Genomic DNA, 21,360 nt, shown 5'->3' on the forward strand with positions numbered 1-21,360 from the left:
AGCAGTTTCACCCACAGATCCACTCGAGTGCAGTGTGTCATCTCCCTCTGGGCCTTCTATGCATTTGCTCATACTGGTTCCTGTATGTGGAATGCTGTCTTCCCAGCACCTTCAGGCTCCAACTACTGAAACCCAGATGGTCTCTGAATGCTCAGATTAAAAGCCAACTCCTTTACAGTGCTTTTCTTACCCACCCTTGCTAGAAGGGTTCTCCCTCCCTGGACTCTCATGGTAGCTGGTTTATACCAGTTTACGGCAGTCACCACAACCATTTTACACAGAAGGCACATGTGTGTATGTTTGATCCCAATTCAGTAGAGGCTCCTGCGAGGGCCGGTTGTTTTCTCACAGATCCCTGTTTGCTCAATACACCTAGCTCAGTCCTCTGTACCAAGCACTCTCCCAGTGAACAAGGTCACATTCTGCAAAGGCCTGGCCAACAGAGTAACATAAATGGGGCAACAGACAGGGTGGTAGGTACTGTTCAGGAGAGTCCTGATTATGTGAGAAAGGGAAGCATTACAACTGGGTCTCTGTCACCACTACATTAGCCATTCACTGGATCCTGCACTGCTTGTTCCTACAATTTCCACCCCAGAAGTCTTCCTTGATCTGATCAAGAGTCGAATCCAGACATCCTCTGCAAGCTATAGCAAAAACTGGCCCAGGAACTTTCTTTTCATGAGCCATAAACATACCGAAGAAAGAGAGAAGATAAGGACTACAAAAATGTCAAGGATAACAAAAGCAGGTTTTAAATCTATGCCTGGAGTAAGAACTAATGGCCAATGAAGCAATGCTGAAGAGCAGAGCAAAAAACTGACAGCAACCACTATTTGGCTCCATCTGCTCCACTGAGGACAATCATTTCCAAATTAAAGAGTGTAAAGAAAAACCTGGTTAGGATTTGAAGTCCAAGAGTGATAAGGGGATAGCAGGAAACACCTGTTTTAAACGAGTTCTCATGAAAGACATGTCAGTCGCTGAAACAACCTGTGGATATGACTGCAGAATTGTTGTCAGAACTCCAGGGAAACAATGAACGAAGTCCAGATACTGATAATCACTGCCCTATTTTCCAAAGTAGATTCTAAAAACTCCAGAATGGTGAACTTAATGTAAAACTCTGGCAAAATCAGGAATAATATAGACGGTGAACATTTGACTCCTAACAATTGCTGATTTCTTTTCAACACTGATTTAACAAAGAAAATGTCACACGAAATAACTTCCTTCCCTTTTTTTGGATAGGATTACTAGAGCAGCCAACCAGGGAAATAACAGTGAAACAATAGCTTACAGCTGAAAGAGACCAGTGGGGTGAGTTGAGATTACAATCCTGAAGTTATCACTTACACTTTACTCTGAGCTAGATGGGGTTCCAAAGGCTTTATATATACAGTATCATTAGTCATCTATTTAATCCTTACAAGGACCCTGTAACATAGAAACTAACATTACTCCTATTTGGCAGAAGAGAAAACTAAGGCAAAGTTTTCTTGCCAAAAGGTCATACAGGTAGGATTTCAACCCAGCCAATGTGGTCTCCAAGTTGTACTTCTCATATTAGTCTACAATGCCCTTCACATGATTAGCAAGGCTGCCAAAAATAGAGGGAGAAATGGGAATCCTCCCTTTTCCATACAAGAAAAAGGACAGCAGAACACATCTGCCCTCTCTCTCGCCTCTTATCCACTCACTTCTCTGACGGGAGGAGGGAAGACTTTGATTGCTGCTTGGGAGGTGCAGCTAAGCACACTTTCTTGGCATGGTAAGGTCATCAGTGTAGAATCTGCCACAAGGGGAGTTTACAATTTAAGGTAGGTAAATTCCAGGACTGATATTTAATATATTTTAATAATCACTTTATCACCAGACCAACCCTCAGAGCAACCACTGGTGTGCTACTGAGCCCTGGTAAGTTAGGTTAATAGAGTTATTAGCAAGGGTTAATTAGAGAGCCACACTGTGGTCTTAGTTTCACCAATCCAGCCTTCTTAGTAAGACACATGCTATTTTGATTCCTACTGGTCTAATTTCCAGTATTTTTTCAATTTGTTCTGAACTTAGAGGGGAAAGACAGGGATATAATTTATTCCCATCAACTCCCCAACAATCCTCTTACACCTTCTGGATAATATCCCAAGTACTAAATGCAGTTTTAGGTGACATTTCTCTGGAGTTCTGACAATTCTGCAGTCACATCCGCAGGTAATTTCAGCAACTAACATGACTTTCATGAGCACTCATTTAAAACGGTATAGGCTTAGTCTTGGCTCTTAGGTGCTTTCTAGTTTAGTACCTAAGAGCCTATACTGGGGACCATATGGTATGAAGTAGATGGAAGGAAGATGGACCATCCATGTCATCTCTCCTGTTGTAGACGTGAATGTACCTGTAAATTCAAAATAAGTAGGGTACGCTGGGAAGGGCCACAATCTGGGACATAAAATGATCTTTGGCAAATAAAATGATTGAGCTTTAGGTCCAAGGGGAGGGGACCTCATTACTCTAGAGTAGAGGTCAGCAAACTATAGGCACAGGCCTTCTGTTTTGTAATTTTTTTTTTTAAAGAGATGGGGTCTCACTCTGTTGCCCAGGCTGGAGTGCAGTCACATGACCCTAGCTCACCGTAACTTCGAACTCATGGGTTCAGGCGATCTTTGGCCTCATCCTCCTGAGTAGCTGGGACTGCTGGTATGTACCACCATGCCCAGTTAATTTTTAAAAATTTTATGTAGAGATGAGGTCTTGCTATGTTTTCCAAGCCTGTAAATAAAGTTTTATTAGAACACAGCCATGCCCATTCATTTACATATTGTCTATGGCTGTTTTTGTGCTCCACGATGGCACAGTCAAGTGGCTGCAACAGGGACTGTATGTCCTGCAAAGCCTGAAATATTTTCCAACTGGTTCTTTCCAGAAAAAAATTTTGCAGAAGACCTATGGTCTAGACCTAGGAAAGTAATTCTAACATTCTCAGGGTAAGGGGAGAGATTGGGGCCAATGGGGAGGAAGGACAAAGGAGCATATTTAGAGCTGGAACCTTTAGTGGGATTACCTGGAGGAGGCAGAGGGGACAGCATTAGGGTGGAACCACCACTATGCCTTATTATGCAGGGTCCTTCCTCATTGAGAACTAAGCAATAATATGGCCTTCCTAACTGAATTATTTATATCCATTTGTGTAAGTTCCTAGACAGTGAATTAAGTGGATTTTTCTCCAGTTCTTCAGAATTGCCAGCACAAAAAATGTAAAATGCAGGCACAGGTAATCAAAAATGTTTTAATGATTACTGTTTAGACATTTAACAATGTAGGTATATCCAGGTGAGCTAAGCACACTTTGACAGCACACTATTGAATGTTATAGTTTCTGTATTGAAATATGTAAAGACATCTGCAAATTAGTACCTAGCAATGAAGACATACATTTATAAATATACACATTCTAGGTTTGATAAGGTAAATGTAAACAGATGCCATGACTCCTTTTCAAACAGAAAACCCACAAGACTAATAGAGAACCAATAGGCTCCCTATAGTACGAATGTGCAAAATTAAAGCATGGTAAACTGATATTTACATAAATATCAAACCAACAATTAGTTTATACATTGTCAATGACCTTCTAAGATATGTCATGAGTGGTTCCAAGAATATCTTTCCCCCAATGGAGAAGGTATTCAGAGGCTAAATTCCGACACTTTAAAATGACACACATCATAGGCTTTACCTGTTTGACCACTGCCTCAAATGTGTGAGATGTGATTTTATGATAAGCAGTCTATTATTTTTAAACAAGAGGTTCTAAACACATCTTTAGATTCTAAGCAGAAAGAAATTACAAGTACTATTAGATTTACATTAAACAAGTTACCTCTATCAAATTTCTCGATTCTCTTATGCTGTAGCTATATTTGATTTTACCTTAAAAAGTTCTAAGGTCCTTTCCCCCCCTTTGTTAATTTTGGTAAACTAGGCACATTTTACAAGGAAATCTGTGTCAAAACAGATAACAGTGCATAAATCAATCCAAATTTAGACCCTGGCAACCAGTTCCCCATTGCTCATCTACGGGACTCTGTCAAACGGTAAATAGGCAATCATCTCTCTTGAAAAGTATACATCCTCTCTCGCACTGGTGGAAAGCAAAATTGACTTTTTGTTTGCTGTATAAAAACACTTAGCACTTCAGAAATTAAAAATGGCCTACTCACCCTACACCCTTCCTAAAATCTCGAGGACAAAGAATATATATTTAAGTTTCATCACGACTGCTGTAGAGCCCCCCCCTTTTTACATTAATAGTGGCACTCAAAATAAAAAAATAAGATCTGTTAAAAAGTTAAACTGACTGTTCCACTAGATTTGAGCCTGCTTGATTCAAAGCCAATAGTACAAAACTGAAGGTGCCGTGTCTGATTTCACATCAACAAGTCACTGGAAATTATGTCACATTAGTTTCATAAATCATGGTCTTTGATTTTTTCTAAACAGAGCTATTACAAATTAATACAAACTTGAAACATACCCTAATTTAAACTAATAAGCTTTGGGCCCTGCTTTTTAAATTTTAAGGCATGTGTGTTTCTCTACCATAACAACATTGTACAAATTTACATTTACAATCACATGCATGATCTACAGTTAAAAAAAAAAGTTTGGATTACAGTGTTTTTAAATTGTGAATCACAATTCAGCACCTATCATGTTATAACTAATAAGGCAACAGCAGTGTTGTATACTATAATAATACTCCCTTTCCACAGTCTAGCGCAGGGGTCAGAGAGCCCAGAAATGTTAGAAATCTTATCCCTACTTATATAATCTGTATACGTTTTCTAGGGGTTTTGAATTGATGAAAGAAGTCCTACATGAATCACACTATTGTAGGCCAGACTAGTTACAGCAGCTGTTAACGAGCATTGGGGCACAACTCATATTGTGCTTACAATCAGATGACGTGGTTTGGAGGGTTTCAATTCTTTGACTTCAATCCTTCCGCAGCTTCCTTGGCTTCACATTGTTTTCCAGGGGTGAAAAGCTGTTGGTGTGTCCATTCACAGCAGCCATGGACCCATTCTGGTGGTCCTTCAGGTGGTCTTTCCTTCGGGAGGCCCCTTTCTTGTTGTAGGTCTAAAATGTGTAAGGGCAGATGAGAACCAAATGACCACAGTTTTCTTTATAGGGAACTTTACTGAGAATTGCATCCCTAACACTAGGCCTAGTTTCAAGATCAAATCTTATCAAGGAGAAACTCCTGAGGTCAAGTCCTCATTGACTAAATCTTTTGTCACTGGTTTCAATCATTCTTCCTTTTTTTTTTTGAGGCTTAGCCTGAGGTAAGTTAACTGAATCACAGGCTGCAACAGAAATACTATTTAAAATGTCACATAGAAAATTCAATTTACACTTTGCTTTGCCTTTTAGTATCTGGATGGCAGATGACAGGGGTTATGTGGCCAAATTGGTCTTTCCCACCTGGCAGCAGCTCTCTTGACACCCACATCCCTTGTTCGTCTTCAAAAGTTCCTCACTGCCTCGGCGACTATCTCAGCCTTCATGAACAAAGTGCTATGCTGCTATAAGTAGTTAGAATAAATGTGATTTCAGCTTCATCGGGTCCTATCCTTTCACCTTCCTTGTAGCTGGTGTATGTCCCACAGTGCAGCCATAAACTATGAAGCCCAGAAGTATATGACTTCCACTGAAACTCAACATGCCACACACAGGTGCTTGTGGGCACAGAAGAAGAAAGGACAAATGTCTGAGCCTCGGGACTTGCAGCCTCTGCCCTTGCTCCTGACCTCCGTGTTTTGCCCAGATCAGCAGGCCTTATGGCTACCAGGCACTGGCAACAAAGGCAGGACACATGTCATCTGGGGGGTGACGCATGGCAGGAGAATCAGCAGTGGCTGCAACGTGGTCAGGCTCCACTGGAAATTATCTGCCCTAAATGGATCTTTCTGTGAGCAAAGACCTACATCACCACATCATATGCTTAGGAATGAACCGAATCCTCACACCTGAAGACTGAATGTATAAGAAAGCTGGGACAAAAAAGCAGATCTCCATATCTGAGGACTGTGATAAAAATCTCTTCTGAAATTTCATTTGGCCATGACGTTCAGGGTAGTGAACTGAGAGATTTCTGATTGAAATCACCTCTCACGTCTCTGCTGCAGGTCAGAGGGAAGCAACATAGGGTCCTGCTGCACAGTTTTCCATTTCCCAGGGGAATCCCAAGACTTCCTCACCCAGGCTCTAGAACAGGATTCTAGTGTCTTCCAGTGAGCTGTGAGCCCCCCAGAGGCAGGGGCTGCTCTTGTCATAGTGACTCCATTAGAGGCCAGAGCCTGTCACCCAGCAAGGGCTCCACATGCCCATTAAGTAAATAGATGAGGGCCTTTGTTGGTAAAGGCCCCAGATTCCAAGTCCCAGAGAAGGGTGAGATTTACCTGAATGTAGAAGTTTGTGAAGAGAGCAATCAGGGAAATCATGTATCCAATCTGGAAATACAACCAACCAAGAGGGAATGTGCACGGCCAGATGACCCCGCAGCTGGTCTGGATGATTGTCAGCACAAACTGAAGCTAGGGGAACAGAGGGGATGCAGCTGAACAGGGACAGTGCATGGACGAGGCCCCACACCAGGCAGACTTTTTAACCAGCATCACCTAAATTTCTGAATTAACACTTACTACCCTTGCTGCAGGTACAGCAGTCACTTCATGAACACAACACATACACTATACTTATCCTAAACTCTAGGTGTGTTTGTCTTATATATATTCTTCCTCTGCCCTCCAAGCTATTTAAACTACCTTCTCCAAATTTCAAGGATACACTATAGAGACATCCAAGACTTTTTGTTTTTATTTTTTGAGAAGGAAGAGCAAGTGTGTATGTTGAAAGGGCACTGATAACATCACTGCAGGATGTGCCACCTGGCTGGACATCCTTCCAACTCCTTATCCATGGACGCTTCTGGTTTGGTGAAGGCTGATGAGTAGATTTAAACCTTTACTGGCAAACAACACTAAGTGCATTGATTAATTTTGATGAATAAACCTTGAAACGCATGTGAACTGGTTAGAGAAATGGTGGAAAGATGTTTTAAAAAGGGCTAGGCTCAGGCCGGGCGTGGTGGCTCACGCCTGTAATTCCAGCACTTTGGGAGGCCGAGGCTGGCGGATCACAAGGTCAAGAGATCAACACCATCCTGGCCAAAATGGTGAAACCCTGTCTCTACTAAAAATACAAAAATTAGCTGGGTATGGTGGCACACGCCGGTAGTCCCAGCTACTTGGGAGGCTGAGATAGGAGAATTGCTTGAACCCAGGAGGCAGAGGTTGCAGCGAACCGAGATCGCGCCACTGCACTCCAGCCTGGTGACAGAGCGAGACTCCAGCTCAACCCCTGCCCCTCCCCCCAAAAAAAGGGCTAGGCTCTGCACACTGTATTTCTAGCAGCTCCAATGTTTCTATGTAGAGTTTTTTGTTTTTAATTTTTGAGACAGGGTCTATGTTGCCCAGGGTGGCCTCAAACTCTCAGGTTCAAGAGATCCTTCTACCTCAGCCTCCCGAGTGACCGGGACTCCAAGCCATGACCCACTGTGCCTGGCTGTTTGCCTTCTCTTTTTTAAGGTTAGTACTGCAGACTGAGGAATAACTAGGAGTGGTGCTTAAAATAAATCCTGACAACCTGGGTAGGTTTAATCTTCCACCTCAAAGTACAGAGCCTAACGGGAGACCAACTTTGCCAGTCTGTTCTTTTAAATTCTGCTTCCGCCAGACCCAAAACTGTGGTATAAATCAATTTCTGCATCATTTCTCCTCAAGTATAACAAGGAGGTTAATCAACAATTTTCCTTTTTCACAGGTGGGTGAGAAAAAATTAACAAGGACCATATAGCAGCTGGCAGAGAGGTGAAAATGAAACATCAAACACTTCAGTCTCTAAGATTTTCTCAGACTTTTTTTTCAGATTGTTATTTTTAAATATTGAAAAATCATAATTGACTTGAAGGGATCTGAATCAGCTTGGTGTGTTTAGAAAAATGTGTTAATAATGCAAGGACAGGGCAAAGGGTTTAATGTCCACACCCCTCAGTCAGCTAGCTTTGGCCTATTGACTCAGTGTCATCTATAAAATAGGGACAATAATATGTGTTTTTCTTTTTGGTAGAGACAGGGCCTCACTATGTTCCCCAGGCTGGTCTTAAACTCCTGGCCTCAAGTGATCCTCCTGCCTCGACCTCCCAAAATGCTGTGATTACAGGCGTGAGCCACTGTGCCTGGCTTGGGGACAATAATATGAAATCAGGCTACTGGAACAATCTATGTAAAATCATGTACTTAGTATGAGTACCCAACATGTGCTAAACACTTAGGAAATGTCAGTGTTTAATATGAGCAGTAGTAGTATTAATTAGTTCATAGACGAATTCATGAGAGGAGAGAAAGAGGTTACCTATAATATACTGATGAATGCAGAAGGCTTAATCAAGGATGGTGAGAAGTATCAGGTGAAGTGGCCTGGCCCTGGCAGTAAACCAGGGGAGGAGCTGTTAACTGAAGCAAACAGCTGCCATCCTCACCAACAGGTGCTCCACTGCATGGGGGCTGAGGGGTCATCCATACCTGCCAAACAAATATCCTTGCTGCCTAGTAATGGGCTACACATACCCTGGACTCCATACTACTCTCCAGCTCCTTCTAAAACCCCTGGAAACATACAATTTTCATTTTGGATTTTGGACTATAATTAGAAAACACACACACATATACACACATACATGCATATGTGCTTATGTGCAAAAACTCAGAAGAGCTGAACTTGAAGTTGGCAAATTAGATTCTAGACCTCTTTGTACAATTCAACTAGCTGTATGCCCATGGTCACAGTTCACTATCAGTTCAAAACAAGAAAATTCCCTAATCTACCCACTTCAAGGAATTTAATTACATCAAATGAAAAAGGGTGGAGAAGGGGCATCTTAGATGCTATTACATAACACTAAAGCCAGGAAGAGGTCTGTATCCACCAGGAAGTAAGTCCTGGGGAAAGAGGCCAAGTCACTCACCAGCTGCCCCTGAGTGATGTACTTCTTCCACCAGAGGTATGGACGCATGGAAGGGACTGACGACAAACCATAGTAAGAGTACATGAGGACGTGGATGAAGCTATTAAGTGTGGCACCAAAATAAGCTGCAGGAACAGAGGGATTTGGGAAGGAGAATGTATTAGTGTTTTAAACAGAACAGGTGGTAAAAAAAAAAAAAATACAAGATTCTTTTTGAATCAGAAAGAGAGATGACTTCCAACGGAGCTGACAAACACTGCAACAGCAAGCAATGCATGGATGTGTAATGAGAATTCAATTTCCACTTGGGCAGGCAGCCACCAGGAGGCTCCGAGCCCAGGGGTCAGCTGTAGCTGCTAGAGGGGCATCTGACACTGAAGCCACGACGCCATCCCAGCACCTACAGGCTTTGCTGCAGATGCCCACCCACTCTCAGAGACAGCTGTTTTTCTTTACATGCACAACTGCCCAAATATGCTCTCTGAAGGCTGTGGAAGACAGCTGATGGGCAATATGCTCAAAAATGGTTGTTTCTATACATTTGCTGGGGTGTGGAGAGGTCTCTGAAGCCATCTTCTAATTATTTCCCAGGACTGCAGTGCTGAGGTCATACATTTTTATTAATAATAGAGTCAAGAGTCTAGCTCCTTAGAGATAAAAGAGCCATCTTATCACATCATTTTCAATGTTCAGTAGGACCACTAGTTCTTTTTCCAGACTCTGTCCTCCTCCCCAACAGTCAGCAACCAAACCAAGCCATCTGGCTTTTCCCTGTGCAGTTGCAGGTGCACAGCCTGGTGTTAGGGAAGTTTCTACTCCTGGCTATGATAGGAACTGGCTTTTGACTTTGGACACATCACATCCATTCCCTGGTTCAGTTTCTCATGGCCCAAGTGGAGCTGATTAAATCTGTCCTCCTGAAAGTTCTCTGAAAATTTAAAGCACTCTTCAAATGTAGGGAGGGGCTGTTTCTATTAGAAAGTTAGGTCAGTTAATCCACCATCATGAGCTCTGACAGTGGGAGGAAGAGCAGAAAGCCCCAACTCTACCCACCTTTCTGTGGTCTTAGTTTCCTCCCAAACCCAAAGGATCTGTATTTGGAAAGCTTTTTTTTTTTCCTAGCTCTGGAATTCCATGACACTGTGAATCTTAGCAGGCTCAGGTAATCAAGGGCAGTGCTATCCCAGAGAAAAAAATATCCATAAATAGACCCATAGGTTCTCAGTTAAATTCTTCAGTGTTTGGATGACGGGACTTTTGACTGAGACATTTGCTAAAACTCCCAGGCTGAATCTGAAGGTGGCAATCTCTGAAAATTATAAGAAACTTTGGACTACAAGCTTTCCAAAAACCAAGTACAACCTTAGAAAATTTATATCAAGTTTTGGTGCTCGTTATAGAAGACACCTTGATCACCATGCTTCAGGGAATATGAGGGTTGTTAGAACATGTGGAGACTTCCTAATGCATGACAGCTAAAGCTGTATTTCAAAATGAGCCTTGCTCCCTGGTACTCATGCAACAGTGTGATCCTATTTTCCTCACCTGCCCGTCTCAAACCTTCCACACCATACAGAAGGACCAGAAAGAACCTGGAAAGTTGCCCTCTAAGTCAGAGAATATTGTACCTATTCCTTAATATGTCCCCAGTGGTATCTCCCTCATCTCACCCAATCAGCACAGAAAGTTCACTTAACTAAAAAAGGGTTTTGTGTGCATAGGTACATAAACTATCATTAAAAGCAACTTGAACACAAAGCTGAAAGCCTGACCTAGACATTTACAGAAACAGCACCTTTTCTGAAAGCCTTAGTTTCAACTCTCCTCCCTGCTCACACCTGTTCCCCAAGTCCCCGTCTCTAATACTTACAGTGGCCGCAGGGGACCCAGTTCATCACAAACCACCAGATGTTCAGCATCGAGGCATGGTGGTAGACGTGCAGGACCGTGATCTGGTGGTTGTTCTTGCGCAGGATGAAGAAGAAAGTGTCCATAAATTCTATGAGTTTGGAGAAGTAGTACCACCAGAGGACACGGATAATCTAAGAGGAAAGGGTCAAAGATTTAAGGCTTATCCTCACGGCTTCTCTGGAATATCACCTCTGACATGTTTCACTAATATCCAAAAATCTGATGTCAACTCGGAGAAGCCCGAGTGCCCCAAGAGCTCTTAATGTCCATCAGTGGCTGGGAGCTATGGTCACTCTCCAAGTACCTTTAACCAAAGAACATGATTGGGTTGGGACAGCTGGAGGGGTTTGAAATGACTACAGGGAATATTTTTGAAAGGGTCCCTGACACTCTTTGAGACTAACAAAAACATGAGGCTCAAGGTTCAAAACCTTGAAGTCTGCCTATTCCCTCTGGAAGCAGCCTGCACAGCCATTAGCAAAGGAAAACCATCTGAAAAACGCTATTGATTTCAGGGACTAACATGGAGCAGCCGACCTGATAAGTGACACAGAAGAAAAGGAATCAGAACCTGCAGTGTCAGGTCTCTGCCCAATTAAACATGTCAAACAAGTGCTCTAAGGAGATGACTGCCCATGCTGAGCTGCGACTGTTGGCCTGTGATTTAAAACAAACCTCATGAGTGGAAGTCAGATTTTATTTTTAACACCACTACTCGGAAAAAAGTACTTGGATGAATGATTTTAAAAATTTAAGACATTGCTCTTATGATCCTGATTGTGTAAATATAACATACTGACTGCATGTGATTTTTCCTGCCAATTGTTAACCGGAGTTATTTTTACAGAGGGGGATGCTTTAGGTTTTATTTTATACCTTTCACATTCAAATTTTAATTTGATGTGTATATATTGCCTTTTTTATTCTTTTAAAAATATCAACAGGGATTGCCTGGGCAGTGAGGTTATGGGCCATTTTGTATTTTATACAATTTATTTTTAAAAACTCAACACTTATAATAATAAAGTTTCTGAAAAAGAGACAGTACCTTCATATCTGATTCTCCTGCGGTGCGTGTGCCCTGACAGAAGAAGTTGTATTTGCCTTCCCATACTCCTGTTACTAACTAAAAAAGAAGAAAGAGCCAGTCACCAACAGCATCTGAGCCATGTAAAGTCCTCATTGAACTTTATTAGTTGCAGAATCTGTGATAATTTACCTTGGGCTGTGCTGAGCCAAGTTTGCTCTGAGAAAAAACAATTGTAGGCAAGTGTAAACAAAAGGAAAGCTTTAATGACTTGAGTCTCAATTTCCTAAGGGGTGGGCTTAAAAGTCACTCCCAGGCTGCTGCCCTCAGAGACCTTCCTTTACCACGCTGCTTCTCTGCAGAACCCTCAGCCCGTCACCCCCTTGGTCCTAGCACAAGTGCCCAGACCAAGCCAATCACAGGCTCCCTGCTCTGCCCCACAGAAGCCTCTGGCTGCTTTCCCTAAGCCAGTGCTCCTCAAACTTGAGTGTGCAGCACCAGAATTACCTGAGGGGTGAGTTAGTAAAACATGGGTCCCTGGGGGTGTTTCTGTTCCAGTAGGTCTGGGGGCCTAGAATTTGTATGTCTAACAAGGTCCAGGTGATACTGATGCTGCTGATGTGGAAACCATACTTTGAGAACCACTGCTGTAGGCTCAGGGATAATTTAGTCCAACTTTATCTTCATTATTTCCTGTTGTTGTATGTACAATCCTCCGGATCCATGAATTAGGCTTCACAAACTGAAGGCTTCACAAGTGCCCATGCCTCAGAATCACTTGCAGCACAGTAGGCACTATGCTGTCACAGAGAGGACCCCAGAACTGGGGTACAGGCTCTACATCACAGCCCAGCAGTTATCACGGGCCCCTCCCCTCAATGGGCCCGTGATAACTGCAGGGCTGTGATGTAGAGTCTGCACCCCAATTCTTGTGTTCCCTGTCCTTGAACACAAGAGTTTAGCTTGGCGAGCAACACAGATTCCCCCCCAGGGAACAAGAGGTGATTACAAGGATCTGAAGACACCTTGTGATATTTCCACCTGGTCTGACATCAGAAATAAATGGCAAAAAATGGGTGTAGCCGCTGCACTCACGCTGGGTATCCTGCCTTCTATCTGATTTTTCTTTGGTTATCTTTCTTCTTGCCATTTTCCTTCTGCTTTGTCACCTTCTACACATAAAAAAGCACTGAGAGTTAACAGGCTTTTCATGGCCAAAGAAGAGCACAAGGATTTAGCATGGGAGAAGCATCAGTTCATGATGAAGAGCCATGGAATTAGGAGGAAGGCTTGAGTGCCAGGCCCAGCACCTGGGGCAAGCCAGCTAATTCCTGTGGGCTTTTGTTGTTTTTACTATAAAATGATGAGGTTGGACTAAATTATCTCTAAAGGGTCTGTTCCAAATTTCTGTAGCTTCATGTTAACAGACTTTAAAAACAGACCACACAACAAACTATTCTATACTATCTTTGAAAGATCAGTACCCACATGGTAATTCATTAGAAGGTGTATTAACTTTTCTGTCTTCTACTACTCTCTAAAGTCATGGCCAGTCAAGCAGGATCCATGCAGGCTGATCAGAAGTCCTAAGAAGCAAGACACAAAGTCTGAATCCAAAGTGCGTTGGAGGTCGGGGGAGGAAGCTGGCATGCACTCTTGAGACCTGGGGTGGAGAGGGAAGGGCCAGCTTAGCACAGTGCTCTTTTTGCTGCCCTTCTTTCTACCCCAGGAGGGAACCAAGGAACTACCTCCTGTGGCTTGAGGGTACAGAAAGGAAACTGGTGCTTCTTGATGAAATGTTTGTGGGACAACCGCGAATAAGAAAAATAAGGACAACGCAGTAAGGTTTTCATGAAGATAAATTCGTGCAATGTAAAAGATCCTCTTTTTTAAAACAGCAGCCTCTCTTGGCAAAATTAAAAACGTACTAACATATGACTGTCTTCATCAGAGATATTTTTGGAAATGTTACCATTTTATGAATCTTAAATCTGGAACCTACCATCACTGTTTTTTCCAGCGACTATTTTGGTTTATGGTGTCCAGAGACATCCTGGGTTGGTTTTGCTTTTGTCTGTTTTAAAATAGGATGGCTGGTGTGTGTGCACTTGTGGAGGTGTGGATGACTGCATTCATGAATGTCTATCTTGGCAGGGGTGGGGAAAATCAAGGTAGCTCTCTGGAGAAGAGGAGGACAAATCCTCTCTTGTAATTCTGCAGGCGCCTCAATCCCAAAGATGAGAACGGGTTGAAGGGGTCTTGTTAACTCAGCAGAAGGGACTCTTGGACACAGGCTTCCTTTTTAAGAAGGGATCCAGGTGGGATTGCCTTGACTCTTTAAACTAGTTAACCTAACGTTCCATTTGCCCTCTCCCCACCCATAAATGGGGCAGGGGAATCCATGTATAAAACACCTGTTGTCTTTGGAGTTTAGTTAAAGAACTCAAACCTCAGTATTGGGTGGTGAACTTTTTTCACTCCTGAAGCATAAACCAGGTATACACACAAGAAGCTGCTCACTCGGTGCCACTCCACTTGACCTAGGCCCACCATTCCTCTTCCACCTGTTGAGGTTCCCTGTAGGAGCTCTGTCATGCTTCAATGCAACACTCCCTCCACTGCTACTCACACCTACCACACTTCCACTGGGGCCGCTGTGCCCCTCAAACCACTGAATTCCATATTTCCATATTTAAAACCCTCCAGTGAGTCATCATTGCCTTCAGAATGAAACCCTGAATCCTAGGTGCAGTGTCCAGGTATTTAGTCTTCCACAACGTGGTCCCAAGCTTATCTTTCACTTCTCCCCTACGTGCACACAAATTGGACCTCTTCCCATTCTCCAAACATGCCCTTCCTTAACCGCTACACAGTAGCCAAGGGGAAAGAGCATGGGTTTGGGCATTAGCCCATTAAACCCTAGCTTTTTCACGTTTTGCTAGGTGACCTTAGCTAAGGTATTCCAACATTTTAAACTTCAGTTTTCTCAGTCCTCAAATGGGATAAACATAAGGCTCCCACCATGAAGTACATAATGCCTGTCTCACCCAATGTGGTTCATAGGATTAAACATAAGTGTTGGCAGTGACCACTGTTTTATTCTTTTCAACTAGAATGCCCTCTGCACCTATGTACCCCCATCTCCAGCTCTCAAAATCCTATCTATCCTTCAAAGTTCAGTTAAAATTCTATTTTCTTCATGATTACTCCCTTGAGCACTAGAGCCTGAGGTCTATTCTCCTTCCTCTACCCTCACCTTGCAGTGACCTGTAGCTGTTTGCTCACATGCTCCCTTTGTTAATGGGCCTGTTGTGTGCTCTTCTGTAAGATTTCGAAGGGTGGTGACTGTGGCTCCTGCATCTGCATCAACATATTCCAGCACAGGGATTAGCGTACCAGAGATGTCAAACAAATATTTGCTAAACAAATGACAAAGAGTTCAAGACTGCCAATTCTTTCCCCTAAATCTAGGCCTAATGTTTCATGTGCAGCAATAAAGAGAGCTTCATAGTATTTTAAACGAGGCTTGACTTTGTGATCATATTCATCTGAACTCTGTTCACAAGATGAAAACTCTTCATCATCAATTTCATAATGGGGTCATGGAAATTCTCAAATCTCCCTGGCTTCAGAAAGGATAGAATAATTTAACAAACCAAGACCAAGGACCTGAGTTGAAGCTTATTCACCTAAGACCCTCATCAAACCTCCATAAAATGGGCTAGCAGTAGAGGGCTCTACTCCCTCCATCCCCCTCAGAGGATAGCAATGTGTCCATGGGTAGTGGACTACAGAGGTGCTCAAAGCAAAGGACTGACCCCTGTAGCCCCACTAGGAGCACATCACAGGAGACAATCCTCAAGTCAAAGTCACATCAGCCACCTTTCCCTTTGGGACTGAGGCCTAGCTTCTTTCCAAAGAGCTGTTTTGGTCAATTTCCCAGAAATTCTTCAAGTTGCGTGTTAAGTAGACACCACAGGGTGAGAGGACCCAGTAGGCTGGAGAAGGTGAAGTACTGAAAATAGGGGCAGGTGTCTGTCTACCTTGGGCTTCTGAGAATCAGATCGAAAGAGGACAGGACTATACTATAATGAAAAAGCAGGCCATCACAAACAGCTAACCACTACCTAACGAAATTTTCCATACCACTGCCAACTCCAAGAACCACCCAGGGGCATTATTTGCAGGCTTTTTTCTGAGGAACTGAGATACAAACAGTACCACTGCAAAGCTTTATACACTTCCTCCTTCCTTGGAGTAAAGCAAACTTTAATTAGGCCAAGAGGATGTGCAGAGCTATAATTAAAACCTAGCTACAAGCTCTTTTCTCCATATGAGATAAAGTCAATAACCCTGATGGTTTCATGCACCTTTTCAATGAAAGAAAAAAATGTAGGTGAGTTTCACACCTGGTTCTGGATGACATAATTCATGGAGTGAATCTTTTTTCTTTGAGACAGGGCCTGGCTGTGTTGCTCAGGCTGGTGTGCAGTGGCACAATCTCAGCTCACTGCAACCTCCACTTCCTGGGCTCAAGCCATCCTCCTACCTCAGCCTCCCAAGTAGCTGAGACTACAGGTGCACGCTGTCATGCCCGGCTAATTTTTATATTTTTGTTGTAAAGATGGGGTTTCACCATGTTGCGCAGGCTGGTCTTAAACTCCTGAGCTCCAGTGATCTGCTTGCCTTGGCCACCCAAAGTGCTGGGATTCCAGGTGTGAGCCCCTGCACCCAGCCAGGAGTGAATCATTTTTAACGGTGAGTTGACTTTTCCCATCTAATAACACATTTAACCACAAACAACTTGTAACCTTTAGCATAATAACCATTTCCATGGCACTTTCTGGAATGCTACTGAAACATCTCAGGAAACAAGGTCACTGGAAACACTTAAAGAAAAAGGAGGAAAACATCATCTTGGGTGGCCCTTATCAGCCATTAACATCAGCATCCCAAGATGTCAGAGCAACAAGATAACCCCTTTCCAAAGAAGACTGGCTGCTTCTGGTGATAAGAGCTTGATGAAGCTGCATGTTTACTACCTCCTATGCAGAAATGGGGTAAAAAGTAATGAAAAATAGACTATCCATACTCAAGTTCAACTACATCACAGGACCTAAGGTGCTTTTCTAAGCAAAATCTCCAAGAATACGTAGGGTTGACCCTCTTCATAGCTTTGTTTCTGTGTGAGTCCTCAACTGTGTATTTTTTAGATCTGGTACAAGCTCGTATTTTTAATGAGAAAACAGGGAATGAGAAGTGATAAGGATGGCCCAGGTCTTGGTACCACTGGGATTAGCACAAAGGAATCCTGACTCTCAGTCCAAATGCACCTCAAACAGCAGTTCCAAGCATCTTTGCCCTTCTTCATCTGTTTTTGAATTCTTAGTAAGAACATGGTAGGGATACTCTGTCCATGAAGAATTCTGTGGAAAAGCAGACCTTTAACTGCATCTTTTTCTTCCGCAGATGTTTGGTTTAAAATTAACCATGAACTACTCAAAATTGAAAGTACCTATTTCCTCTAGGGTTTAGTTGGCCAATTTTCGCAGTGCTATTAGGGAGTGCCAGGTCAAAGCATGTGGTTTTTACATTTCAAATCTTTCATGTCCAGAGCATAAGGATGCCCATTAAGATAATTTCACACCCATGACCTCCACAGGTGTTTTTTTTTTTTCCTTCTCCTTGTGAACAGGAATACCCCTGGGTTATAGCTGAACGTAACACTCTTGGCTAAGTTAAAAAAGACAGGTTCTGTACACTTGAGAAGTCTTTAAAACAAAACACAAAGAAACAGCCTGTCCTCAATCCAAACTGAAACAGGTATGTCTGGCATTTTCCCTGAATCCTCAAGCCCTGCCCTCTTATGCTAGCAGTTCTCCCTGTTCAGGCCTCCCAGAACTTTCCCTCTGTAGAAAGCAGATGGTAAGAGTGCAATAAGCATTAGATTAGTTAGCCCAATACCTGACATAAGGTAGGCACTATCTGTCTTTGCTATGATCTTAGGCAAATGTTAAGTACTTTTGCTTCCAACTAGGGCTAAGGTGGTGCTGGATGTCCCAGCCAAAGTATAATTTGTGTCATTTAAAGGAAGGTCTCCAGCCTACCCACTGACGCCTGCTTTGCAGAGTTAAGTCCACTTTAGTTGAGGATCTGTAGAGTGATGTGCTCCTAGCTACACCAGCTGCAGAGCCAAGCTCTCCAGGTGTTGCAGGGGCAAGTTTAGAGGAGTGAGGCCTGGCTCTGGACAAGCCAGAAGGCTTCCTCTCTGTAGAAAGTATTCCCTTCCCCTCCCCTGGGTGTGGGTGAGGAATGAAGGATGTTTGAGCTGCATCCTTCTCTCCATTCTCCCTACCGTGAGGCATTCTCTCAGGGCAGTGTCAGATACACTAGGGACAACTAACTGTTTCCTTTCAGGCCCTGAGAGAAGTTTCTTTCTCAGCAAGGAATTTTAGTTGTAAGGAAACTAAGAGTGAAAAGTATTCTAGGCAATGATCAGGCATTTCTTGTAAGTACTAATTTCACCAGATGTTTCAACTGCTCTATACCTCTGCTAAATGGGAAAAAGAACAGCAAATAGCCTTTTCAAAGTATTTTGGTAAACAAAGTTATTTTTCAAATAAAATTCAATAATCAATTGCCAGGTTGCTTAAGTGTTTTTCCAAATCCTATTTTCCCACAATAACGTATCTATTTTAGGAAAGCCTGAAGGGAAAGAAAAACAACCAGTTTAGAATATTATGTTTCCAAAGCAACTGCTCTGTGGTTCCATCAGATGGCCTTCAAACCCAGAGCCTGGGGAGATGCTTTCACAGCCCACAATTACAGAGGTTAGAAAGCACAAACAAAGCATTCAGTCACCAAATGCTCAACTTCTTTCATCTTTCCAATAAAAAAGCATCACAAATTTTCAAAACAAATTCAAAGGAAAAAAAACTGACTTCTGGTTCTAGCAACGTGGCAAACTGAACAAAAGCAGAACCAACTCTCTCACTATAAACACAGGTAGGAAAGTGGTATAAAACACAGCAAAAACTCCAACACAATCAATTCTTACCTATAATGCGAGGGAGGTCCCCACAACAAATTATTCTTTAGAAAAAGAGAAATCAGCTTAAATTCAACTCCTTCCAAAATCTTTATGTGGAAAAGGCATGTTTACCTGAGATGACCCCCAACAATACTAGTTTGGGATGCTTACACAGAACACTAGGCAAACCTTTACTTCTGTTTTAGGAGGTAAAGAAATTTAACACAGACAATAATTATCCCAGAGGCATTACCTCACAGATATATCTGTAAGCAAGCTTTTAATAGAATACTTAAAAAGGCAACACAGCAAATGGTTAAATTTGGAGATCACTGTCATCTAATCTATATCACTGGGGGGGACAATACTTCCATGTTATGGAATAAAAAAAGAGCAAGCAGTGAACTTTCAGAAGTAAAAGATACATAGCCATTTAAACTAAAAACACAATAGATGGATGAAACAGATTAAAAACAAATGAAGGAAGTAGGAGTGAATGGAAGAATGCAAAATTTTCAAAGTGCCTAGAAAGAAAAAAAGATTACCCTACAAATGAGCAAAAGTGGGACCACAGCAGACTTCTCTGGAATAAATCTTCAAAGTGCTGAGGAAAAATAACTGTTAATCTAGAATTCTATGCCTTGATAAAATATTATTCAAGTGTAAAGGCAAATAACATGACACTCAGACTAAGATATTGCCCTTCATAGAAAGAACTACTTACGAAAAAAATTGAATCAAAAAGGAAAGAATAAATTTCACAGAGCAAAGAAAATCAGTAAACACTGATGGCAATAATGGTGATTATTTAGGACCTTAAAAAAAAAAAAAAGTGAGGCCAGATGTGGTGGCTCACGCCTGTAATCCTAGTGCTTTGGGAGGCCAGGGTGGGAGGACTGCCAGAGCCCAGGAATTTGAGACCAGCTTGGGCAACAAAGTGAGACTCCATCTCTACAAAAAATAAAAATATTAGCTGGGCACAGTGGCATGCTCCTGCAGTCCCAGCTGCCTGGGAGGCTGAGGCAGGAAGATCACTTGTGCCCAGGAGTTTGAGGTTACAATGAGCTATGACCATGTCACTGCACTTCAGCCTGGGCAACAGAGCAAGACCATCTTTTTTTTTTTTTAAAAAAAAAGGTAGAAATAACTCCTGACAACAGTAACATGAAAGATGAGGGGTCACAGCTAGAATCCTCTAAGGTCCCTGGTATTGTTTAGGAGAATAGAAATACTGACTCAACTGAAACTGTCGTAAGTTAAAAATGCATGGTAAACATCTATGGGTAACCACTCAACAGAATGAATAACTTTTGAATAAGTACAATAAAAAATAATGGTTACAAAAATTCTACAAAGCAGTAAAGGAGAAAAGAAGGCCAAAGAAAACATATATACACAAAAAAGGTGACAGAAAGTACAGGCATACCTCATCTTTGCTTTATTGCACTTTGTATATATTACAGGTTTTCTTAACTGAGGTCTGTGGCAACTCTGCATTAAGCAACTCTATTGGTACCATTTTTACAACAGCACGTGTTCACTATGTGTTACTGTGTCACATTTTTGTAATTCTCACAATTATAAAATATTTCTCAAAATATTTCAAATTTTTTCACTATTATTATATCTGTTGTGGCGATCTGTGTGTGGTTACTGAACTTTGATGTTACCATTGTAATTGTTTTGAGGTGCCATGAACCACACCTATATAAGACAGCAAACTCAACAAATATTGTCTGTATTTTAGCTGCTCCACAGACTTGCTGTTCCCCCTAACCATCTCTTTCTTCTCTGGCCTCCTTATTTCCTGAGATACAACAATATTGAAATTGGGTTAATAATCCTACAATGGCCTCTAAGTGCTGAAGTGAAAGGAAGAGTAGCATGTCTCTCACTTTACATCAAAAGCTAGAAATGATTAAGCTTAGTGAGGAAGGCAGGTGGAAAGCTGAGACAGGACGAAAGCTGGGCCTCTCGTACCAGGTTAGCCACGTTGTGAATGCAAAGGAAAAGTTACTGAAGGAAATTAAAAGTGCTACTCGTATGAACATAAAAATGATGAGAAAGCATTAGTAGCCTTATTGCTGAAAGTTTGAGTGGTCTAGGTAGAAGATCAAACCAGCCATAACATTCCCTTAAGCCAAAATCTAATCCAGAGCAAGCCACTAACTCACTTCAATTCTGTGAAGCCTGGGAGAGGTGATGAAGCTGCAGAAGAAAAGCTTGAAAATAGCAGAGGATAGCTCATAAGGTTTAAGGGAAGAAGTCATCTCCATAACACAAAAGGGCAAGGTGTAGCAGCAA

The 21,360-nt window shown here is 42.2% G+C and overlaps 1 protein-coding gene and 1 non-coding gene across 5 annotated transcripts in view, besides 1 other annotated feature; one reads left to right on the plus strand and one right to left on the minus strand.

Moving 5' to 3' along the window:
• ELOVL5 (ELOVL fatty acid elongase 5) overlaps window positions 3,273–21,360 on the minus strand; it is an 81,547-nt gene continuing 63,459 nt past the window's right edge. For 3 of the 4 annotated variants that reach the window (NM_021814.5, NM_001242828.2, NM_001301856.2), the window contains 5 exons: window positions 12,048–12,125; window positions 10,959–11,130; window positions 9,089–9,213; window positions 6,462–6,596; window positions 3,273–5,139 (listed from right to left, as the gene is read on the minus strand). In NM_021814.5, coding sequence (NP_068586.1) covers window positions 4,996–5,139; window positions 6,462–6,596; window positions 9,089–9,213; window positions 10,959–11,130; window positions 12,048–12,125 — 654 coding nt within the window. In that variant the 3' untranslated portion in view covers window positions 3,273–4,995. The remainder of the gene's footprint in view (window positions 5,140–6,461; window positions 6,597–9,088; window positions 9,214–10,958; window positions 11,131–12,047; window positions 12,126–21,360) is intronic. The other variant, NM_001242830.2, reaches the window with a different exon arrangement.
• On the plus strand, window positions 12,862–12,940 carry MIR5685 (microRNA 5685). The gene has a single exon (NR_049866.1). It is a non-coding gene; the product is annotated as a microRNA 5685 (primary transcript).
• Window positions 18,958–19,127: an enhancer, noted in NCBI's record as "experimental_92203 CRE fragment used in MPRA reporter constructs". NCBI's record gives its function as "activates a minimal promoter by MPRAs in K562 erythroleukemia cells, with activity observed for the non-introgressed 6:53147972 variant allele {active_cell/tissue: K562}" and the evidence as "EXISTENCE:reporter gene assay evidence [ECO:0000049][PMID:34662402]".

The sequence above is a fragment of the Homo sapiens genome, chromosome 6 (assembly GCF_000001405.40).
Source record: "Homo sapiens chromosome 6, GRCh38.p14 Primary Assembly".
Lineage (NCBI taxonomy): Eukaryota > Metazoa > Chordata > Mammalia > Primates > Hominidae > Homo > Homo sapiens.